At 47.1% G+C, this 22326-nt stretch overlaps 1 protein-coding gene across 12 annotated transcripts in view, besides 1 other annotated feature; it reads left to right on the forward strand.

Annotated features, from left to right (window-relative positions):
- Positions 1 to 22326, forward strand: part of SUFU (SUFU negative regulator of hedgehog signaling) — a 130717-nt gene that overhangs the window by 42975 nt on the left and 65416 nt on the right. For all 12 annotated transcript variants that reach the window (XM_047425335.1, XM_011539863.4, XM_047425336.1 and 9 more), the window contains one exon: positions 4177 to 4313. In XM_047425335.1, coding sequence (XP_047281291.1) covers positions 4177 to 4313 — 137 coding nt within the window. The remainder of the gene's footprint in view (positions 1 to 4176; positions 4314 to 22326) is intronic.
- Positions 19885 to 20584: an enhancer, noted in NCBI's record as "OCT4-NANOG hESC enhancer chr10:104325435-104326134 (GRCh37/hg19 assembly coordinates)". NCBI's record gives its function as "activates a minimal SCP1, AML or CMV promoter by ChIP-STARR-seq in naive H9 embryonic stem cells {active_cell/tissue: H9 hESC(naive)}" and the evidence as "EXISTENCE:reporter gene assay evidence [ECO:0000049][PMID:30033119]".

Genomic DNA, 22326 nt, shown 5'->3' on the forward strand with positions numbered 1-22326 from the left:
TGAAACCCTGTCTCTACTAAAAATACAAAAGTCAGCTGGGTGTGGTGGCACACACCTGTAATCCCAGCTACTCAGGAGGCTGAGGCAGGAGAATCACTTGAGCCCAGGAGGCAGAGGCTGCAGTGAGCTGTGATCGCACCACTGCACTCCAGCCTGGGAGACAGAGTGAGGCTCGGTCTCACATATAAATAAATAATGGTGTTGAGCATGAGATGCTGACTTTCAGCAGTCATTTTGGGCTCTTGGATGCTCACTGATACCTTCTTAGTGAGGTACTCTGGGGGAGACCTTTGGGTGAGTTCTGATGGTCAGGCTGTTGTGTGTCTAGGATTCAAGGCATGTGTTCTTGTCTTTGGTTTGATGTTACTCTTGGGGCTGGCACAGCCATCAGGCAGACTTGCCAAACTGCTGGGACAAAGCCAGCCTTCCCCCGGACACCCCCGTGAACAGGATCCAGGGTTCTTGAGCAGGAAACAATCTTGAGAGTCTTATCTCATCCTTCCTTTTGCAATAAGACAGTTAGAACCCCTTACCCCCACTCTGCCAGCCTGGGAAGAATTTTTTTCTTTCTTTCTTTAATTTCTATAGGAAGAAATTCCACTGGCCCCAGTTACCACCAGCCAGTATTTTAGTAGACTTCTGTGTTAGAAAAATGCTTTGCTCTGACCCAGATCCCACCTTCTGCAGCACATGCCAATTTCCCCTTATACTTTCCTTTCTTGGAAGATGTGAGAGACAGCCGCTCCCTAGGAGGGGCTTCATTCTCTGTTCAGACAAAACCACTTTGGCTAGAGAAGCCCTCATGTGAGGAAGTCCAGACCAAGCCAGGCCCCTCCAGGAGACTTTAAAGATGGAATGACCTTGTCACTTGGTGATTGCTTGGGCAGCCTGCTTTGAAAAAGAGAACTTCTGACAGACTTCAGGTCGTGTGTTTATCCTGAGGCTGGGCCATTCCAAACTCATGTTTCAGGGTTTAGAGGTTGCGTCCAGCCAGCCCGTGGGTGGTAATCAAATGCAGGTGGAGACCATCTGGCCGGGCCTGTCCCTCCCACCCAGCCAAGTAAGGGCTGGCCTGCCCACCACAGAACTGGCCCAGAAAGCACCCTGCGTGGAGGCAGATGGTGGACACATGCGTGTGCACGCATGCACACCTCTAGGCGCGTGTGCACGGACCCTCCTTAGTGAAGTGGTGCTGTGTGGATGCATCTGATCCAGTGATTTCTTTCTCTGCATTTGAGGGTTCTTCCCATTGTGCAGCCGAAGAGGAACAAGTTTCTTTTAGTCTGTTTCTCAAGTTTTTGTGGTTAGAAATCATGTACGTTTCTTGGCCCAAGATGAAAGCCCTGGAGTAATAGTCTAATACATTTTACAAAGCTGCCTCTAATTGGTGGCTGCTTAAAATCTTCCCTTTGCCCTACTGACCCATCTCCCTTTACAGAGTTTTAACTCTAGTCAATCTTGCATTACTCCATGTTTTCACACCCCTCCCAAACCTGCAGCTCCAGGGAGGTAGCTCTTCCAACTTCAGTTTGATAGCTGTTCCCTCAGCCTGCCTGCACTGAATTGACCTCAAACAGGGTAATTCAGCAAGGAAATAAAATAGCTTACAATGTGTTGTCCAAGCATCTTCTGCTGGCCTGGTCTCCAAAATTCCACGTGTGTACCCTCAAAATGGATTCTGTTTCCCACATTGCTATAGATACCTGGGGAAAATGAAACCGTGGATACTTCATTTAAACATAGTTGGGCCAGGTGCTGTGGCTCTTGCCTGTGTTCCTAGCACTTTGGGAGGCCAAGGCGGGAGGATTACTTGAGCCTGGGAGTTCAAGGACTAGCCTAGGCAATGTGTTGAGACCTGTCTCTACAAAAGTTTTAAAAATTAGCTGGACATGGTGGTGCACACCTGTGGTTCCAGCTACTTGGGAGGTTGAGGTGGAAGGATTGCCTAAGACCGGGAGGTCAAGGCTACAGTGAGCCATGTTCACACCATTGTATAGAGCAAGATGCTGTCTCGGAAAGAAAGAGAGAGAGGCGGGGGGGAGAGAGAGAGAGAAAGAAAGAGAGAAAGAAAGAGAGGCTGGGCATGGTGGCTCATATCTGTAATCCCAATACTTTGAGAGGCTGAGGCCAAAGGATTGCTTGAGCCCAGGAATTTGAAACCAGTCTGGGCAACATAGGGAGACTTTATCTCTACTAAAAAAAAAGAAAGAAATTAGCCAGGTGCTAGGTGCCATGATGTGCCAGCTACTCGGGAGGCTGAGACAAGAGGATCGCTTGAGCCCCCAGGAGTTCACACATGCAGTGAGCTGAAGATCACGCCACTGCACTCCAGCCTGAGTAACAGAGCGAGACCCTGTCTCAAAAAAATACATAGATGATAGAGAGATAGAGAGATAGATAGATAGATACATACATACATAGAGTTTGATCATGATGGTTTCTAATGATACCTTTTCAGTCCATTGGAGAACTTAGCTTCTCAGAGGTGATCTTTCCCTGCAAAGTGCAGGAGGTCTGGGTTCACCCAGGCACAGAAAACTAGGACAGATGTCAGCTTCTGAGACTTGGGAATCTCTTTCTATCCCATCTCCTGGCCTTGCCTCTCGGGGTGATGATGATCATGATGAAGAAAAGATGCCACGTGGAATTCTAGGGTTGGGCATTGACTGCATCATCAGCCCTTGAGAATTCTCACCTCTGATCACCTGTTTCAGGAGCTTGGTTGGCTGTCATCTTAGTTTATGGTTTGTGTTTGTATGCTGACGAGTTTACAGGTGTATAATCATTGTGGCTCATGTTTGTACAAGATATAATTACTGAAAATTATATCATGAATGTATTTTAATTTTAACCTTCCCATGCTGGCAAGCCTCATGTAGCTCTCCCTGGATGCTTCCCTTACCTGGGGAGGTGTGGCACCCCACCAGCCAGGCCCAGCTCTCTGATCCACATCACTGCCCTCTCTGATGGAAGTCCCTTTCAGGGACTTCCCTGAGACTTGGGGCTCCTGAGTGTTTCCTACAAACAGGGAGGCAGGGATTCCTGCTTTCTCTCATTGTCACTTTAATGAATTGTGGCCACAGAAGCAGTCATCCTCATTATTCTGGGTCACTGAGGGATGGGAAGGGAGGGCAACCCATGCATCTCTAGGGTTCCAGCAATTGAAGAGTACATGTGGAGTGCCAGGTTTCAGGAAGAGCTTGTGCTAATTGAGGAGTGTGTGTTGGGTGCTGAGTTTCAGGAAGAATATGGGCCCACCCAGTATTTGGAATCTGCCTTAGGACCTGTCCACAAATGCTGAGTCTGGAGGCCAGCCAGTGCCACCCAAGGTTGTACCCTTGTGGGCAGAGTGGAGGTGGGAGTGGAGAAAGGGTCTCATCCTCACAGAGTGTATTAATCCATTCTCACACTGATATAAAGACATACCTGAGATTGGGTAATTTATAAAGGAAAATAGGTTTAATTGACTCACAGTTCCACATGACTGGGAAGACCTCAGGAAACTTACAATGTTGGTGGAAGGAGAAGAGGGTGGCAGGCACAAGAGAGTGGGCAAAAGCAGAGAAAACTGCCCTATAAACCCATCAGATCTTGTGAGAACTCACTCACTATGACAAGAACACTGTGGAGGAAACCACCCCTGTGATCCAGTTATCTCCCACCTGGTTCCTCCCTTTACACGTGGAGACTATGGGGATTACAATTCAAGATGAGATTTGGGTGGGGACACAGAGCCAAACCATATCACAGAGCATATAGCCTTGTGGCTCACAGGACATGTATCCTTAGCAAACAAAGTAGATGCCTATTAATAGCTTGAAGGAATAAGGAGCATGAACAAGGGAGATTTTCAGCAGTGTTGCCTCAATCATCCAGGAAGGAATGTTCCAGAGCCACAAAATTTGGAACTCATAATTCAGAGTGCCAGCAGTAGAATTTGGCCAGGCCAAGGTCACATCCACATACCCGCAGCTGGCAGGAGGATGAGGCAAGAGTTCTGGTTCCTTATGGGCTTCTCAGGTTCCCTCCCCACAAGGCTCACATCCTGGGATACTCCTCTGAATGGAGGATTTGGATACTGAGGCCACCATAAAAAGGGGGAGAACTTTAGACTTTCAAGAGAGTGTTTTTCCTAAGGTAATTGAGCTTAAAACACTTGCTTTTTATGTCTTTCAGGTTTACAGGAACAGATGGACCTAGTGGTTTTGGCTTTGAGTTGACCTTTCGTCTGAAGAGAGAAACTGGGGAGTCTGCCCCACCAACATGGCCCGCAGAGTTAATGCAGGGCTTGGCACGATACGTGTTCCAGTCAGGTAGGAGGCCAGGGCTGGCTGCTGTGCTGGTCCTTTTGCCATGAGCCTGGTTGACTTTGAGTACTAGCAGCTATATTTTGATGTTTGTGGAGTGGCCTTTCCTGGGAGTACTATGCCCCAATTCTACCATGAGGATGGCTTGTTTTGCCTGGTGTTTCCTGGTTGGAAAACCAACTGGGCCATGGCAGAGAGGGGTACTCCCCTGTGCCCTCCAGCAGCAAGTTCTGTGTTATGTTGTGCCACCCTGCACCCTTGTCGTGTTTCATGGAGGGTTTCTTTCATGTCATCTGATATATGTTTCTCTGTGGCTAATTGCTCAGAAGCATTTCCCATCTGATCTCAGATTTTGTTTCTTTGTTTTTGTAAGTAGCCTTCAAATGAAGGCCAAGATACTTTTCCCAACCTTTTGCTCTTGAAATATCACAGATAAAGTTCAGAGCAAGCCATGGTCTCTCAAAGCATGGTTCTTATACCACCTGCCTCTGAACTACCTGGAGAGCTTGTTGCAAATACATATTCCTAGGCCCCATTGCAGATGTCTGACTCAGAATCTTTGAGGGTGATGTTCCTTGGTGCTTCTGGTAGAGACTAAATTTGGAGAACCATAGATCTGGTAGCTTCTGTAGTTACAGTGACTTTTTTTTTTTTTTTTGAGATGGAGTTTTGCTCTTGTTGCCCAGGCTGGAGTGCAATGGCGCAATCTCGACTCACTGCAACCTATGCCTCCCAGGTTCAAGTGGTTCTCCTGCCTCAGCCTCCTGTGTAGCTGAGATTATAGGAATGCGCCACCACACCCAGCTAATTTTTTTGTTTTTTTAGTAGAGATGGGATTTTTCCATGTTGGTCAGGCTGCTATCGAACTCCTGACCTCAGGTGATCTGCCCGCCTCGCCTCCCAAAGTGCTGGGATTGTAGGCATGGGCCACCGCGCCTGGCCAGTGACTTCTTTTTTTAAACCTTGAGTAGGTTATACATTTGGGGTACAATAGACCTGTCTAGGTTGAACCCCTCTGCCCGCATTTCACACCTGTGGGAGCCAGTTGTTGGCACATGAGGCAGATCCATAACTACCACCTACCATTGTATGCCCTGTGGAACAGTCCCCTCATGGAGGCTACAATGGGTCTTCTCTAAGCAGGAGTTCCTAAATCTGGCTGCCCATCAACCTCTTCGAGGAGCTTGTCAACACACTGATTTCCAAACCTTCCTGTGGGGCTCCAGTTGAGTTGGCCAGAAGTGGGACTAGGGCAGGCCAGGCACAGTGGCTCACGCCTGTAATCCCAGCACTTTGGGAGGCCGAGGTGGTTGGATCACCTGAGGTCAGGAGTTCGAGACCAGCCTGGCTAACATGGTGAAACCCTGTGTCTACTGAAAATACAAAAATTAGCCAGGCATGGTGGTGGGCACCTGTAATCCCAGCTACTCGGGAGGCTGAGGCAGGAGAATCGCTTGAACGCGGGAGGCAGATGTTACTGTGAGCCAAGATCGCACCACTGTACTCCAGCCTGGGCAACAGAGCAAGACTCCGTATCAAAAAAAAAAAAGTAACAATCACAGTAGTTGTGAAACAGAACAGCACTAATAATGGAACAAATTATTATTATGTGCCTTCTTTTTTTTTTTTTTTTTTTTTTTTGGAGATGGAGTCTCACTCTGTCCCCCAGGCTGGAGTGCAGTGGTGCGATCTCGGCTCACTACAAGCTCCGCCTTCTGGGTTCAGGCCATTCTCCTGCTTGAGCCTCCCGAGTAGCTGCGACTACAGGTGCCCGCCACCACGCCTGGCTAATTTTTTGTATATTTTAGTAGAGACGGGGTTTCACCTTGTTAGCCAGGACGGTCTCGATCTCCTGACCTCGTGATCCACCCGCCTCAGCCTCCCAAAGTGTTGGGATTACAGGCGTGAGCCACTGTGCCCGACCTTATTATGTACCTTCTTATGTGTTGCAGTGTGAGGTATGTAACATCAACTATGTAGCATTTTCCCAAAAATGTTTAACCTGAATCAAGTTATAAGCAGACAAATACAGATTGTGAGACACTTTACAAGACAAATGCCTATATTCTTCAAAAATGTCAATGCTCTAATCCCAGCAGTTTGAGAGGCTGAAGCAGGAGGATCACTTGAGCTCAGGAGTTTGAGACCAGCCTGGGCAATGAAGCAAGACCCTGTAAATTAAAGATTAGCCAGGTGTGGTGGCATGCCTATAGTCCCAGCTACTTGGGAGGCTGAGGTAGGAGGACCATTTGAGCCCAAGAGGTTGAGGCTGCAGTGAGCCATGATTGTGCCACCACATTCCAGGCTGGGCGACACAGTGAGACCCCACCTAAAAAAAAAATACACACACACACACACGCACCCCAGTGCTATGAAAGACATAAAAAGGCAAGGGGCAGGGACTGTTCTACATTAAAGGAAACATGGCAGTTTAAATGCATTGTTGATCCTTGATTAGATCCTGAATTGAAAAAAAAGGGTCATTTTTTAAGGACAATTGGAAAAATGTGAATTTACACTGTGTATTAGTTAATAGTACTGTATGTGAAATTCCCTGGATGTGATTATGGTATTATGGTTATACAGGATAATGTCCCTGTTGCTAGAGATAAAGGCTAAAGTATTAACGGATAAAAGGACCTGATGTCTTTAACTTAATTGTCAAATGACTCAAATGATTTAACTTAATTGTCAAAAAATAAAACATCTGTGTATGAAGAGAAGCTAAAGCAAATGAGGCGAAATGTTAACAACTTGTGAAGCTGGGTGAATGGTATTTGGTTATTCATTGTATCATTCTTTTAACTTTTCTGTAGGATTGGAAATTTTCAAAATAAAATAAAAGTTGTGGCTGTTTGTTGAGTATACATTGACTAATATGTGCTCTGAGGCCCTTTCTGTACCTGATGGCCCCACTTATGGTCGTTATAATGTGCCTGCTGTAGTTTGTGTCTGCAGATCACTTTAGGGACGTCAGAACGGGACAGGGTGACTACACTCCTAAAAGTGTAATACTTGACTTTCTATTTTCCAGATTTCTTGTGATATGATTGTATTATTTAAATAACAGGTAAAACAAATCTACTTTAAATTTTTTTTAGAACATGGTAGGAAATAATAGTAAATTGTTTAAATAATGGGAAAATGATAAAGAAAAGTAAATGGTAACTGATTTAAGATAGGAGACCATGGCTATGGGCCTAAATGGTGATGGGAATGACTAACATTTAGACTTGTGCTCTGTGTGCCATTGAATATGTGAGGTTAGGGACTGTGATATACCAGCTTTTCAGTTGCAGCAAGCAAGACAACACAGGTTGAGCTGCATGTTCAAGATCACACATCTAGTGGGTACAAAGGCAAATTTTTTTTTTTTTTTTTGAGATGGAGTCTCGCTCTATTGCCCAGGCTGGAGTGCAGTGGTGTGATCTTGGCTCACTGCAAGCTCCGCCTCCCAGATTCACGCCATTCTCCTGCCTCAGCCTCCCAAGTAGCTGGGACTACAGGCGCCCGCCACCGCGCCCAGCTAATTTTTTGCGTTTTTAGTAGAGATGGGGCTTCACTGTGTTAGCTAGAATGGTCTCCATCTCCTGACCTCGTGATCCGCCCGCCTCAGCCTCCCAAAGTGCTGGGATTACAGGCGTGAGCCACCGCGCCCGGCCACAAAGGCAAATTTTAACCCAGACAGTGTAGCTCTGAATGGCAGCTCTTGGCCAGACACGGTGGCTCATGTCTGTAATTCTAGCACTTCAGGAGGCCAAGGTGGGAGGTTGGCCTAAGCCCAGGAGTTCAGGACCAGCGTAGGCAACATAAGGATATTCTGTCTCTACAAAAATTTTAAAAATTAGCCATTGTGGTGACGCGTGCTTGTGGTCCCAGCTACTCAGGAGGCTGAGGTGGGAGGATTACGCATAAGCCTGGAAGGTACAGGCAGCAGTGAATGGTGATTGCACCATTGCACTCCAGCCTGAATGACAGAGTGAAACCCTGTCTCAAAAAACAAAAACAAAAACAAAAACAGGTCAGGCGCAGTGGCTCATGCCTGTAATCCCAGCACTCTGGGAGGCCGAGGTGGTTGGATCACCTGAGGTCAGGAGTTCGAGACCAGCCTGGCCAGCATGGTGAAACCTCGTCTCTACTAAACATAGAAAATTTAGCTGGGCATGGTGGTGGACACCTGTAATCCCAGCTACACGGGAGGCTGAGGCAGGAGAATCACTTGAACCTGGGAGGCAGAGGTTGTAGTGAGCTGAGATCACGCCATTGCACTCCAGCTTGGGCAACAAGAGCAAAACTCTGTCTCAAAACAAAACAAAGCAAAAAAAAGTACACATAACTGTACAGCTTGATGAGTTTTCACAAACCACATACACCCATGTAACCAGCACCTAAATTGAGAAACAGACCAGTTCTCTAGAAACCTCCCTTACGTCTCCTTTTAGTCAATACTCTTACCGTCTCCTGACTTCCAACATCATTCTTTTCTTTTGTTTGATTTCACTGCATAGTTAGATCCTTAGCACTGTGTGTCTGAACTCATTGCTAATAGCTTAAGTAGCTCCGCATCCCCACTCCTCTTGCCTGAACTGTTCTCCATCTGCCTGTGACTGCCAGATCAAGGCAGCAGCATGGTGTGGTGGTTTAAGAGTGTGGCCTCCTGACCCAGATAGCCTGCATTCATATTGGCTCTGCCAGTTACTGCCTTCTTGGGCAACATGTACATCCATTTGCTCAGCTATAAAGCAGGGATAATAGTAACCGCATGAAGTTATCGAGAGGTGAATTAATACCTGTAAAACACTTAGAATGTGCCTGGTACGCAGTAAGTACTATGTTTTACCTGCAATCATTATCATTATTCAGTCTTTAAAAACTTTATATGGATTGGCCGGGCGCAGTGGCTCATGCCTGTAATCCCAGTACTCTGGGAGGCCGAGGCGGGCGAATCACAAGGTCAGGAGATCAAGACCATCCTGGCTAACACAGTGAAACCCCGTCTCTACTAAAAATAAAAAAAATTAGCCGGACGTGGTGGTGGGCGCCTGTGGTCCCAGCTACTTGGGAGGCTGAGGCAGGAGAATGGCATGAACCCAAGAGATGGAGCTTGCAGTGAGCTGAGACTGCGCCACTGCACTCCAGCCTGGGCGTCAGAGTGAGACTCCGTCTCACAAAAAAAAAAAAAAAAAAAAACTTTATATGGATCAAGATGGACACCTTGGTCTTTTTTTTTTTTTTTTCCTCAATGACAGACCCTACTTAACAGCAAAACTGTATTAGGAAATGTCTTGCTCGTCCCTGAATCAGATATGCAGCCTCAGCTGACATGATGACATTTGGAGGCATTATCTTACTCACACGGAAAATCAGTAATATTGATACAAATAAAATTACCTCGTTTTGTACATCATATTATATAGCTGAAAACATTCAGTTCAGGTGTGGCTCCTTGGTTTTTTGTAGTTGATTTATGTAGTTGCCTGTGAAGTCTTAGGCAAATCAAACCCTATTCTAAGTCCGGTAGAGCCTATGCAGTTTAGTGGGACCTTGTAGTAAATCCTTTAATAAGGTGAAGAATCTTTCTATAGTGTAAGTAATTGCCCCTTATTGTAAATATTTTGTAAGATTGGGTGTAGGTCTATCAGGTTTTCTCAGAGCAGATCACTCAGCTGCTGCTGCAGAGCACCTCCTTTGTGACTTGTAGGCATTACTCTACCCCTGTGTGGTTACACGCTACAAGAGTTACATGCATATGTACTGTACAGAACGTGTGTCATTTATGTTTGATGTGTACACAGATATACCTGCCTACGTACATAGTGTTGTAATTCTGTTTGATGGTCTTGCCTCACTTGTGCTGTCCACCTTAAACTTAGTGAGTTTATGGGGAGCACTCCACCCACCCATTTGCACGTGAGAACATGCTCAGCAGTGTAATCAAGCAAGTGAACTGTTTAGACCTGCTTTTCCAGATCTAAGTGACATCCGCAGTCCTACAACCCAGCCTTGGAAATAGCATCAAGGCAGTGGGAGGCGAATGAAAGGGGAACGATGAGGCTCCGGTGGGTGTGGGGGCGGGGGCGGAGATGCCCACAGCCAGCCATGGAGCTGTATGAGGCAGCCTTGGAAGCCTGCTCTGAAGCATGACTCAGATGGCTTCTATAACAGCCCTGACCTGCTGGCAGACAGCTACCCTCTGGGAGGTTTGCGCAGAGGTGGAAGCTGAGCTGGAGAGAAAAGGAAGTAGAAATGGGAGAGATCTGAGAATGAAGAGCATCCAGAGGCAGTGAAGGCTTCCAGATATGGCTAGATATAGACAGATTAGGGTGATTTAGTTAGGATTCTTCTAGTTATAAGAAAATGGGCCAGGCATGGTGCCTCAGGCCTGTAATCCCAGCACTTTGGGAGGCCGAGGCATGTGGATCACCTGAGGTCAGGAGTTTGAGACTAGCCTGACCAACATGGAGAAACCGTGTCTCTACTAAAAACTCAAAAATTAGCCGGGAGTGCTGGCACGTGCCTGTAATCCCAGCTACTCAGGAGGCTGAGGCAGGAGAATCGCTTGAACCCGGGAGGCGGAGATTGCAGTGAGCCCAGATCGTGCCACTGCACTTCAGCCTGGATGACAGAGTGAGACTCAAAAAAAAAAAAAAGGAAGGGAGGGAGGAAGGAAGGGAAGAAGGAAGGGAGGAAGGAAGGAAGGAAGATGGGTGGGGCACAGTGGCTCATTACTTGTAATCCCAGCACTTTGGGAGCCCGAGACAGGCAGATCACTTCAGGTTAGGAGTTCGAAACCAGCCTGGCCAACATGGTGAAACCCTGTCTCTACTAAAAATACAAAAAATTAGCTGGATGGTGGTGCACATCTGTAATCACAGCTACTCAGGAGGCTGAGGCAGGAGAATGGAGAATCACTTTGAACCTGGGAGGCGGAGGTTGCACTACTGCACTCCAGTCTGAGCAATAGAGCGAGACTCCCTCTCAAAAAAAAAGAAATTAGCTTGATGTGGTGGTATGCACTTGTGGTCTCAGCTACTTGGGAGGCTGAGTTTGAGCCCAGGAGGTCAAGGCTACAGTTAGCTGTGATCATGCCACTGCACTCAGCCTGGGTGATAGAGCAAGACCCTGCCTCTAAAAAAAAAAAAAAAGAAAAAGAAAATGGCAGAAACCCAACTGAAACTACCTTAAACAATAACAGGGCCAGGCGTGGTGGCTCACATCTGTAATCCCAATACTTTGGGAGGCTGAGGCAGTGAGGCGGGCAGATTGCTTGAGCCCAGGAGTTTGAGACCAGCCTGGGCAACATGGTGAAACCCCACAGGGGTAGAGTGAAAAGATTGAAAAAATTAGCTAGGCATGGTGGCATGCATCTGTAGTCCCAGCTATTCAGGAGGCTGAGGTAGGAGGATTACTTGAGCCAGGGAGGTCGAGGCTGCCTTGAGCCAGGGAGGTCGAGGCTGCAGTGAGCCATGATCACACAACTGGACACTCCACCCTGGACAGCAGAGCAAGACCCTGTCTCAAAAACAAAAAACAAAGAAAAACAATAACAGACTTCATTGGCTCAGGTGACTGGGACAACAAGGGTTTCAGGTGTGGCTTGATCTGTATGTTCAAATGGGGTCCTCTGGGCTATGACTATAGCTATGACTCTCTGTATGTTGATCTTGTTCTGCAGACTCTCCCCATGTGCCACCACTGGGGAGATGAGCACCATCATTCCTAGTTTCAGTTTCTCTCAGTTTGTAGTCCCAGCAGGCACAGGGCTTTGTGCTTTTAACTTCGGTGTTTTGTTTGTTTTTTACTGATTTTTTTTTTTTTGAGACGGAGTCTTGTTCTGTTGCCCAAGCTGGAGTGCAGTGACACAATTCCAGCTCACTGCACCTCCGCCTCCTGAGTTCAAGCAGTTCTCCTTCCTCAGCCTCCCGAGTAGCTGGGACCATAGGCATGCACCAACATGCCTGGCTAACTTTTGTATTTTTAGTAGAGATACAGGGTTTCACCATGTTGGCCAGGCTGGTCTCGAACTCCTGACTTCAGGTGATCCACCCGCCATGGCCTCCCAAAGTGTTGGGATTACAGGCACAAGCCCCAACACCTGGCCTGTTTTTTAATTGATTTTTGAGACAGGGTTCTTGCTTTGTCACCCAGACTAGAGGCTAGAGTACCATAGCACCTTTTTAGTTCACTGCAGCCTCAAATTTCTGGGCTCAAGTGATCTTCCCATTTCAGCCTCCTGAGTAGCTACGACTACAGGTGCACACCACCACCCTCAGCTAATTTTTAAACTTTTTGTAGAGACAGGGTCTCGCTGTTGCCCAGGTTTTAGTCTTGAACTCCTGGGCTCAAGTGCTCTACCCACTTTGGCCACCCAAAGTGCTAGGACTACACATGCGAGCCACTGCGCCCAGCCAAGGCTTTAAACTTTGGACATTTCTACATCAGTTCTGGGGTAGGACACAGATTAGTTCTGTCTGGCCATGTGACCACCTTGGTTGGTGGCAGTGGTCCAGATGGACCACCAGGATTTACGTTGAAAGTCTTCCCTCTGCTCATCACTTCCAAGCACATGGAATAGGAGGGAAGTCCTCTAAAGCAAAGGCTAACCACCAGCAGAAGAATAGCACGGCTTTGCATAGGCAAAATCAGTTGCTGCCACGGGACTGGAGGGACATGTCTTACCTCAGTAATCATGGTGTACAGTTAACACTTGGAAGTCAGATTATTAGAGGAGATGTCGATGGAGCGGGCACTTTCTGTTCTGTCTTGTATGTGTTGGGATGGTTTTGACTACAAGTAATAGAACACCCTGACCAGAGTGGCCTAACAATAAGGGCACTTACCTTACATGGCAAGCCATCTGGAGGAGGGGCAATTCCAGGGTTGGCTGCCATCTGTTCAGCGATGTTCTCAAGGACCTGAGTTGTTCTTAACTTCTCTGCCTTCCTTAGCACTTGGCTTGTCTTTTTAAATTGGTTTCCTCATATTCCAGAGATGGCTGCCATGATCCTAGCGTCCTGATCACCCTTGACAGAGTCTACAGGCAGTAAGAGAGACATTTCTGTCCTATGTCCTTTAAAGATGAACCAAAACCTCCACAGAACCGCCCTCATTGGTGTCCCCTTTGCATCTCATTGGCTAGAGTTAGGTCAAGGATGATATTGGCTGGGAATGGGCCTGGCTCGCAGAAGGGAATGGCCAGGAAAAGGCAGAAAACCAAAATTGGGGTTCTGTTAGTAAGGAGGGGAATGCCCATCGTGTGGGCAAAACACTCCCCACCTAAGAAGCCCCAGCCCTGCCTGGGATCAGAGGAACCTTGCCTATTGATCAGGACACTGGGCCTGGGAAGAGAATGTTCCAGTCACGAGGACAGGATGGCTGTCATTTCACCTGCTATGGCAGATTTACAAACAAATCTAGCCTGTGGCATGAGTCGTTTGGAAAGTTTTGCAATAAATGTATCAGTAACTTCACCAGTAGACACATCCATGTCTGTCTGTCCTACTTTGCAGCCAGTTTTTCTTACTTCCCTGTTCCCCTTTCATTTTACGATCAGTTTATTCTTTTCAGATTGCCAGTTACTCTTCCCCTGCCCCCCATCCTCTGGGTTTCATTAGAAAGAAACCATTCCCCAACTCAACAGGGCTTGATTTCTGAACTGTGCTTTAGAATTCTGCTGGAGAGGCTATCTGCTCTCAGTTCTGCCATTGGTAGGCTTTAACCACAAATTCCAAGGCAATTTCATTTGCGTTTTTAGGAAAAACGTATCTCCCCAACCTTGTAACTGACACTGGAAATTGAAGTGCCTTCACTTGCTGCTGTTTAATGGCAACCTCATGACATGTGCTCAGTTGGCTCGATTTGTGAGTGGCTCGATTTCTGAGTGCTGGGATGGCACTGCATGAGTAGGGATCTCTCCCAGGCCATCAGAGCTCATGGCTGATCCAACCCTGTGGTACTGACAGACTCTAATGCTAACAGAGATTTTTTTTTGTTTTCACATTTTCTTCCCTTTCCCCTGTTTACAAAAGAAATACTTGCTCATTATAAAATTGAAACTTAGAAATTTAAAATCTGACACAGAAGGTGAAAGTCCTTCATAATTCATTCCCTCACAGAGAAAACTTTGGTGTTCCTCTTTCCAGGTTTTGTTTGCCATGCGTATGTCTGGATAGAATTTGCAGTATTTTGACCAGGCGCAGTGGCTCACACCTGTAATCCCAGCACTTTGGGAGGCTGAGATGGGTGGATCACTTGAGGTCAGGAGTTTGAGACCAGCCTGGCCAACATGATGAAACCCCATCTCTGCTAAAAAAAAAATACAAAAATTAGCCAGGTGTGGTGGTACATGCCTGTAGTCCCAGCTACTTGGGAGGCTGAGGCACGAGAATTGCTTGAACCTGGGAGGCGGAGGTTGCAGTGAGCTGGGAGCACGCCACTGCACTCCAGCATGGGTGATAGAGCAAGACTCAGTCTCAAAAAAAAAGAACTTGCAGTATTTTGTAAAAATGGACTATGCTTTTCATACTGTTTTTCACCTTGCTTTTTTAACTTACTATCATTTGGACATCTGTCAGGATGTTCTTTTTAACGCGACACTTTTTTAATACCTACATATACTGTACTTTATTTAACCAGTCTTCTATTGTTAGACATTTGGGTCATTTCTAATTTTTTCCTTTCACAAAGCTGCAGTGAGCGTCCTCGTATATGTACATCTTTGTATTCTTACCGAAGTATTTCTTTTTTTTTTTGATGAGATGGAGATTTACTCTTGTTGCCCAGGCTGGAGTGCAATGGCGCGATCTCGGCTCACCGCATCCTCCGCCTCCCAGGTTCTCCTCCCAGCGATTTTCCTGCCTCAGCCTCCCGAGTAGCTGGGATTATAGGCATGTGCCACCACACCCGGCTAATTTTGTATTTTTAGTAGAGACGGGGTTTCACCGTGTTGCCCAGGCTGATCTCGAACTCCTGACCTCAGGTGATCCGCCCGCCTTGGCCTCCCAAAGTGCTGGGATTACAGGCATAAGCAACTGCACCCAGCCTTACCGGAGTATTTCTTCAGGATAAATTCCTTTAAATGGGATCACTTAGCCAGGTGTGGAGAAATTAACCTTTACATGTTAATAACCATTGCTAAAGGATTTTTAAAGTGAGGAGGAATTAGATAAATTAATATGTTATTAAAATAATACTATTGGGGCCATCCAGTAAATGTTATCGTTATTTTCAACAAACAATAGAAGGATCATTATATAAAAGTGGTTGTTTTTGTTTGTGTGTTTTGTTTGAGACAGAGTCTCGCTCTGTCACCCAGGCTGGAGTGCAGTGGTATGATCTTGGCTCACTGCAAGCTCCACCTCCCAGGCTCAAGTGATTCTCCTGCCTCAGCCTCCTGAGTAGCTGGGATTACAGATGTGAGCCACTGCACCGAGCCTAGTGTTTTTATAGCAACAAAATACTTTACTGAGTCCTTGAGAATAGGTCCCCCTTCTTAGGTTCCTTGGCCAGAGAGATTGGTTCATACACACTATGTGGCATGCATTTAGGGTTAGGAAAGACCAGCAAGCTTTTTTTTTTTTTTTTTTTGAGATGGGATCTCACTCTGTTGCTCAGACCGGAGTCCAGTGGTACGATTATGGCTCACTGCAGCTTTGACCTCCCGAGCTCAGTTGATCCTCTTATCTCAGCCTCCCAAGTAGCTGGGACTACAGGTGCATGCCACCACACCCGGCTAATTTTTAAATTTTTTGTGGAGACAGGATTTCGCCATGTTGCCCAGGCTGGTCTTGAACTCCTGGGCTCAAGTGATCTGCCCATGTTGGCCTCCCAAAGTGGAGGGATTATAGGCATGACCCACTGCGCCTGGCTAGCAAACCTTATACAGTGTGTTGCACAGTTTAGAGTTCCAGGAATCCATCCATCATGCTTCCTGTCTCTGAAGTTGGAAGTGCTGAGGGACACAGCCTGCCTCTGTAAGTCAGAGAGACTTTTCCAGATATTGACAGCAAGTCATGTTTTACATAAGGAACCTCAATGCATTGTAGAGTTTTCTTGGGGTTTGCCTCCTCTTGCCTTCCCAAAAGTTAACAGATGTGATTCAGTCTTTTCCTGTTGAGGCCCTTTTTTAAAACTTGCTTTTCTATGCCAGGTGCGGTGGCTCACGCCTGTAATCCCAGCACTTTGGGAGGCCCAGGTGGGTGGATCACGAGGTCAAGAGGTTGAGATCATCCTGGCCAACATGGTGGAACCACGTCTCTACTAAAAATATAAAAATTTAGCTGGGTGTGGTGGCACGCACCTGTAGTCCCAGCTATCGGGAGGCTGAGGCAGGAGAATTGCTTGAACCTGGGAGGCAGAGGTTGCAGTGAGCCGAGATCGCGCCGCTACAGTCTAGCCTGGGCAACAGAGCGAGACTCTGTCTCAAAAACAACAACAACAACAACAACAACAGCAACAACAAAACTTGCTTTTCTATAGTTAAAAGTAAGTAAATAAAACAGTAGGTATTGGCTGGCTGTGGTGGCTCACACCTGTAATCCCAGCACTTTGGGAGGCTGAAGCAGTTGGATCACTTGAGGCCAGGAGTTCAAGACCAGGCTGGACAACATGGTGAAACCTCATCTCTACTGAAAATACAAAAATTAGCTGAGAATGATGGTGCATATCTGTAATCCCAGCTACTCAGGAGGCTGAGGCATGAGAATTGCTTGAACCTAGGAGGCGGAGGTTGCAGTGAGCTGAGATCGTGCCATTGCACTCTAGCCTGGGCGACAGAGTGAGACTCCGTCTCAAAAAAACAAAACAGTAGATATTGAGCACCAATATCATAGGTACTTACCTTCTCTTATTTAACCTGTGCGGTGGGTAGCGTGGTGAGGAAGATACTGGTTCATATTGCCCCTTTTCAGATGAGGCGATAGGGAGGTGATGGGCCCTGGAGAACTTCCTATAGCTGCTGAGTGGCAAGAGCAAGCCTCCAGGGACAGTCTAACCAGCCTGCTCTGCGTGCTCCAGCCTCTCAGCCGCCAAGGGTCCATTTTAGATGAAGAGAGAGGACTTGGGGAAAAGGAGCTTTTTCATCAGTTATATTTATTTTATTTAAGTGCCTGCGACATACCAGAGGCTCTGTCAAATGCTAGGTAAGCTGTGTGGAACAAACTTTCCACTGCCGTTAGCTAGTAGAGACAGACATTGAAAAAATAAGCAAATAAATATTTGATTCCATAAGATCACTAAAAGGGAAAGGTGAGGAACTGAAAGAAGGCTTATGTAGCTGGAGGGAGGTGAGGGAGAGGCGAGGGCTCAGGAAAAGCTGGAGGCCTGGCAAGAATAGGAAAGTGCTGGGCTTGAGGCAAGTCATGGTGCATTTGCCTCAATAGAGTCTTGATTCTAAGGGTAATGGAAAGCTACGAAAGCATGTTAAGGGCTGGGTGTGGTGGCTTATACGTGTACTCCCAGATACTTGGGAGGTTGAGTGGGGAGGATAGATTGAGTCCGGGAGGTTGAGGCTGCAGTGAGCCAGGATCATGCCACTGCAGTGAGCCAGGATCATGCCACTGCACTCCAGCCTAGGCAACAGAGCAAGACCCTGCCTCAAAAAACAAAAAAAGAAAAGAAAATGAAAGCATGTTAAGGAGGAAGGTGAAATGGCCAGTTTGGGGAGTGAAGTCCTTTTTTTTTTGTTGTTAAATTAAGATGTACTTGGATTTGAAGTATTTGAGACTCTAGCTGCATTTTGAGAGTGGCTCTTACGCAGAAGGGACAGGGGCTGCTGCAGCAGTTGGAGCGCAGCCCTCAGGGTCATGGATACTTCTCAGCTCTGCCATTCCAGTCCCTGGGGTCTTGAACTCAGCAGAATCCTGTCTCAAGCCTGCTCTATCCTGAGGCTCTCCAGCCTAAGAAGGGGACCCTCTTATCTTGGGGGTGTTAGCAGCCTCAGCATTGCTGTGCTCAGCAGCACACCACAGGGCTGTCTTCTCAGATCCAAGAGGGAGATCAGGCTTTGCCTCCTCTTCCCTGCCCTGCAGGTGAGTAAAGGAAGTCAGGAAGGTTGAGTGAGGAGTTCAGAGTACGTCCCCAGGTAAGATGTTACTAGGCTGCAGGCAGCTTCTCATCTACAGCTCACCTGGCTTTCTTCTCTCATGTCCCAAATGTATGTGGTCTTAATATCTTTTCCTCAGGTAAAGCTTTCTGGAAAGAGGTGCTCCATCATTACCAATGAGAGCTGTCAAGCTGTATCTCTCTTTTTTGGAGACAGAGTCTCACTCTGTCACCCAAGCTGGAGTGCAGTGGTGTGATCTCGGCTTACTGCAGCCTCCACCTCCTAGGTTCATACTGTTCTCATGCCTCAGATTCCTGAGTAGCTGGGATTACAGGCGTGCACCACCACACCCGGCTAATTTTTGTATTTTTAGTAGAGATGAGGTTTCGCCATGTTGGCCACGCTGGTCTCCAACTCTTGGGGTCAAGTGATCCACCCGCCTTGGCCTCCCAAAGTACTGGGGTTACAAGCATGAGCCGTCGCACCCAACCTCAAGCTCTCGTTTCCTGGTTTCGCTAAGCTGCCTATTGCCCCAGTCAGCTAACTAAAGCCAAATGGAGCTGCCTGGTTATATTCATATCATTTTTCTCCCTCACACTCTTTTTAATTTTCCTGACATTTTCTTTGCCTCAACCTGATTCATCCTCTTTTCTGGTTGCTGTGGATCTGTGAAATATTTTCACTTTTATCAGTTAGTAATACTGACCAACTGTAAGACAAAACAACTCTTGATTTCTCTGCACTTTCCTAAGATTTTAGATTAATAGTTGAAAGATTGTGTTCCTACTGCACTGAAGAAAAACAGGTCAGTCCCTCAGAAATGAGTTTGTGCCCTAAAATTTAAGTGATTTAGCCAATATATAAATCTGGGTATTTTTAGGGAAAACTTAAACCCTGAGAGCAGAGGTTGGCAAGTACAGCCTGCAGGCCAAATCCTGATAATCACCTGTTTTTATAAGTAAAATTATATTGGAACATAGCCATACCCATCATGGATTACCTGGGCTTCTTTTGTGCCACAGCAGTGGAGTTGACTAGTTGTAACAAGAATGATATGGCCCTCAAAGCCTGAAATATTTTATCTCTGGCCGTTCACTGCAAAAGTCGGCCGACAACTGACTTAGAGAATGTTTTCCACTTCTGAATAACAACTCAGGTGGAGAGGTAGCCATCTCTGTGAGATTTCAGAGGTCCCGAGAAATGAGTTGCCTTAGCTGGGTCCTGTGCTCTGTGGCCTGTGGTAGAGGAATCAATTACAGTACCTAGAGTTTGTTGGGGTTGGGGGGTATGCATCTCCTGCTGTGTTGCTGAAGGATTTTCTTTAGCAAGTTCCTTTAGCTTCTATAGGTCTGTATCCTACATTGGAGAACTACATTAAATGACTTGAAACTCTTAGTAGAAAGAGTCTATTTATTGTTTTTGAGACGGAGTCTCGCTCTGTCGCCCAGGCTGGAGTGCAGTGGCGCGATCTCGGCTCACTGCAAGCTCCGCCTTCCAGGTTCACGGCATTCTCCTGCCTTAGCCTCCCGAGTAGCTGGGACTACAGGTGCCCGCCACCACGCACGGCTAATTTTTTTTGTATTTTTAGTAGAGATGGGGTTTCACCTTGTTAGCCAGGATGGTCTCTATCTCCTGACCTCGTGATCTACCCGCCTCGGCCTCCCAAAGTGCTGGGATTACAAGCGTGAGCCACCACGCCTGGCCGAAAGCATTTATTTGATACAGGCATTCAGCTAGGATAATTCACCCTCGGACAAGGTCTCTCATCTCTGGACCCCTGTGGAGTTTTAATTGGTTGGCTCTTTCAGCGGAATGTGGCCCTTTTGTCTCTAGCACTTGCAATTCAGGGATGCTTTCTGCAGAGGGCAGTGAAGCCCACTGGCAAGCAGAGATTGCCGCTGGAGAGTTAGGACAGTAGAACTAGCATCTCTGCAGGAGGTAAAGCACTTTGATGACTGGAAACTGCTCATGATAGAGTGTTCAGCGAAGAGGGCTGGAAAAGAACATGGCTGAGAGCAGGAATCCAAATGGCAGGTTGCCTGGGTTCAAATCCTAGTTGGGCCATGTAGGACCAAAATTGAACATCTCTAACAGTTGGTTACTTCATCTGTGAAACACAGGTAATAGTAATATCTACTTCATAATATAGGTAGTGTTCCTAATGCAGACCCTAGCATTATACATAGAAACAATCAATATTATTTATGGCTGGGTGCAGTGTCTCACGCCTGTAACCCCATTACTTTGGGAGGCTGAGATGGGTGGATCACCTGAGGTCAGGAATTCGAGACCAGCGGGGCCAACATGGTGAAACCACGTCTCTATTAAAAGTACAAAAATTAGGTCAGGCGCGGTAGCTCACGCCTATAATCCCAGCACTTTGGGAGGCCAAGGGGGCGGCTCACAGGGTCAGGAGTTCTAGACCAGCCTGGCCAACATAGTGAAACCCCGTCTCTACTAAAAAATACAAAAAATAAACCAGGCGTGGTGGCGGGCGCCTGTAATCCCAGCTACTTGGGAGGCTGAGGCAGGAGAATCGCCTGAACTTGGGAGGCGGAGGTTGCAGTGAGCCGAGATTATGCCATTGCACTCCAGCCCAGGCAATAATGTGAGACTCTGTCTCAAAAAAAAAAAAAAAAAAAAGTACAGAAATTAGCCGGGCATGGTGGTGGGCACCTGTATAGTCCCAGCTACTCAGGAGGCTGAGGCAGGAGAATCACTTGAACCCGGAAGGCGGAGGTTGCAGTGAGCCGAGATTGTGCCACTGCACTCCAGCCTGGGTGACAGAGCGACTCCATCTCAAAAAAAAAAAAAGTTTATGTTGTTGTTTAAGAAGCACATTGCAAAAGAAAAGGAAACAGGCTCTTTTTTTTTTTTTTTTTTTTTTTGAGACAGAGTCTCGCTGTGTTGCTCAGGCTGGAGTGCAGTGACACAATCTCGGCTCACTGCAACCTCTGCCTCCCGGGTTCATGCCATTCTCCTGCCTCAGCCTCCCTAGTAGCTGGAATTACAGGTGCCCACCACCATGCCCTGCTAATTTTTTGTATTTTTATTAGAGACGGGGTTTCACTGTGTTAGCCAGGAGGGTCTCGATCTCCTGACCTCGTGATCCGCCTGCCTCGGCCTCCCAAAGTGCTGGGATTACAGGCGTGAGCCACTGCGCCCCATCCAAAACCTGTCAAGAAAAAAAAAGGCCAGGGCAGTGGCTTTCTTACTCAGTTTCTTCATAGCTCTCTCAGTGGAAAATGACTGGCACCCGTAAGCCATACACAGTACTGCTTGAGATTCCCTGGGAGTGGGTCTCCACCGCCAGGCCTGTCTTCTTGCCTTGCAGGGCAGACATGAGGACAAGCTTGTTGTTTAGGTTCTTCCCAGGACTCAAGGACCAAGAGAACAGAATGGCCCTCCCTCGAGGGTTCTGATGAGGTTCAAGCAGCATTTCTGACTCCTCACAGAGCCCTCTCTCTGGACAGATGACAGTTGGAGCTTGAGCCAGGGGAGGAAGAGAAAAGGGAGGGAATTCGGGTGCTTTTAAAGAGGGATTGCAGCACACCCAGGCAGTGGATTGTTGTTTTGCTGGCATGCAGCAGGTAGACTCTGAAACAGCAGTGGGGGTCCTTCTCTGCCTTGTCCTGCTTGGCCCAGTGGAAGCTGCATACCTGGGGCACTGTGCTGGGCAGGGAACACATCTCTGGGAGAGGCTATAGCCCAATATCCCCTAGCCCCAGGCCTAGCTCCAGCAGCCTATGTTTGGCTTTGAAGATTTAGGAAGAACAGGACACTATCAACCTCCTGGGCCAACCGGGCATGTCTAGGTCCTCCTGTATTGAGTACCGTGGTGATCTGAACACAGGAAAACCTTGTCCTTTGCTTCTCTTTACTGGGCCACTCACATCACACATTCATTGTCTTCTGTCCTTGGCTGGTACACTTTTATTCCCCCAAACAAATATAACATTATTGTTTTCCCTAATTACA

Source organism: Homo sapiens, chromosome 10, assembly GCF_000001405.40.
Source record: "Homo sapiens chromosome 10, GRCh38.p14 Primary Assembly".
Lineage (NCBI taxonomy): Eukaryota > Metazoa > Chordata > Mammalia > Primates > Hominidae > Homo > Homo sapiens.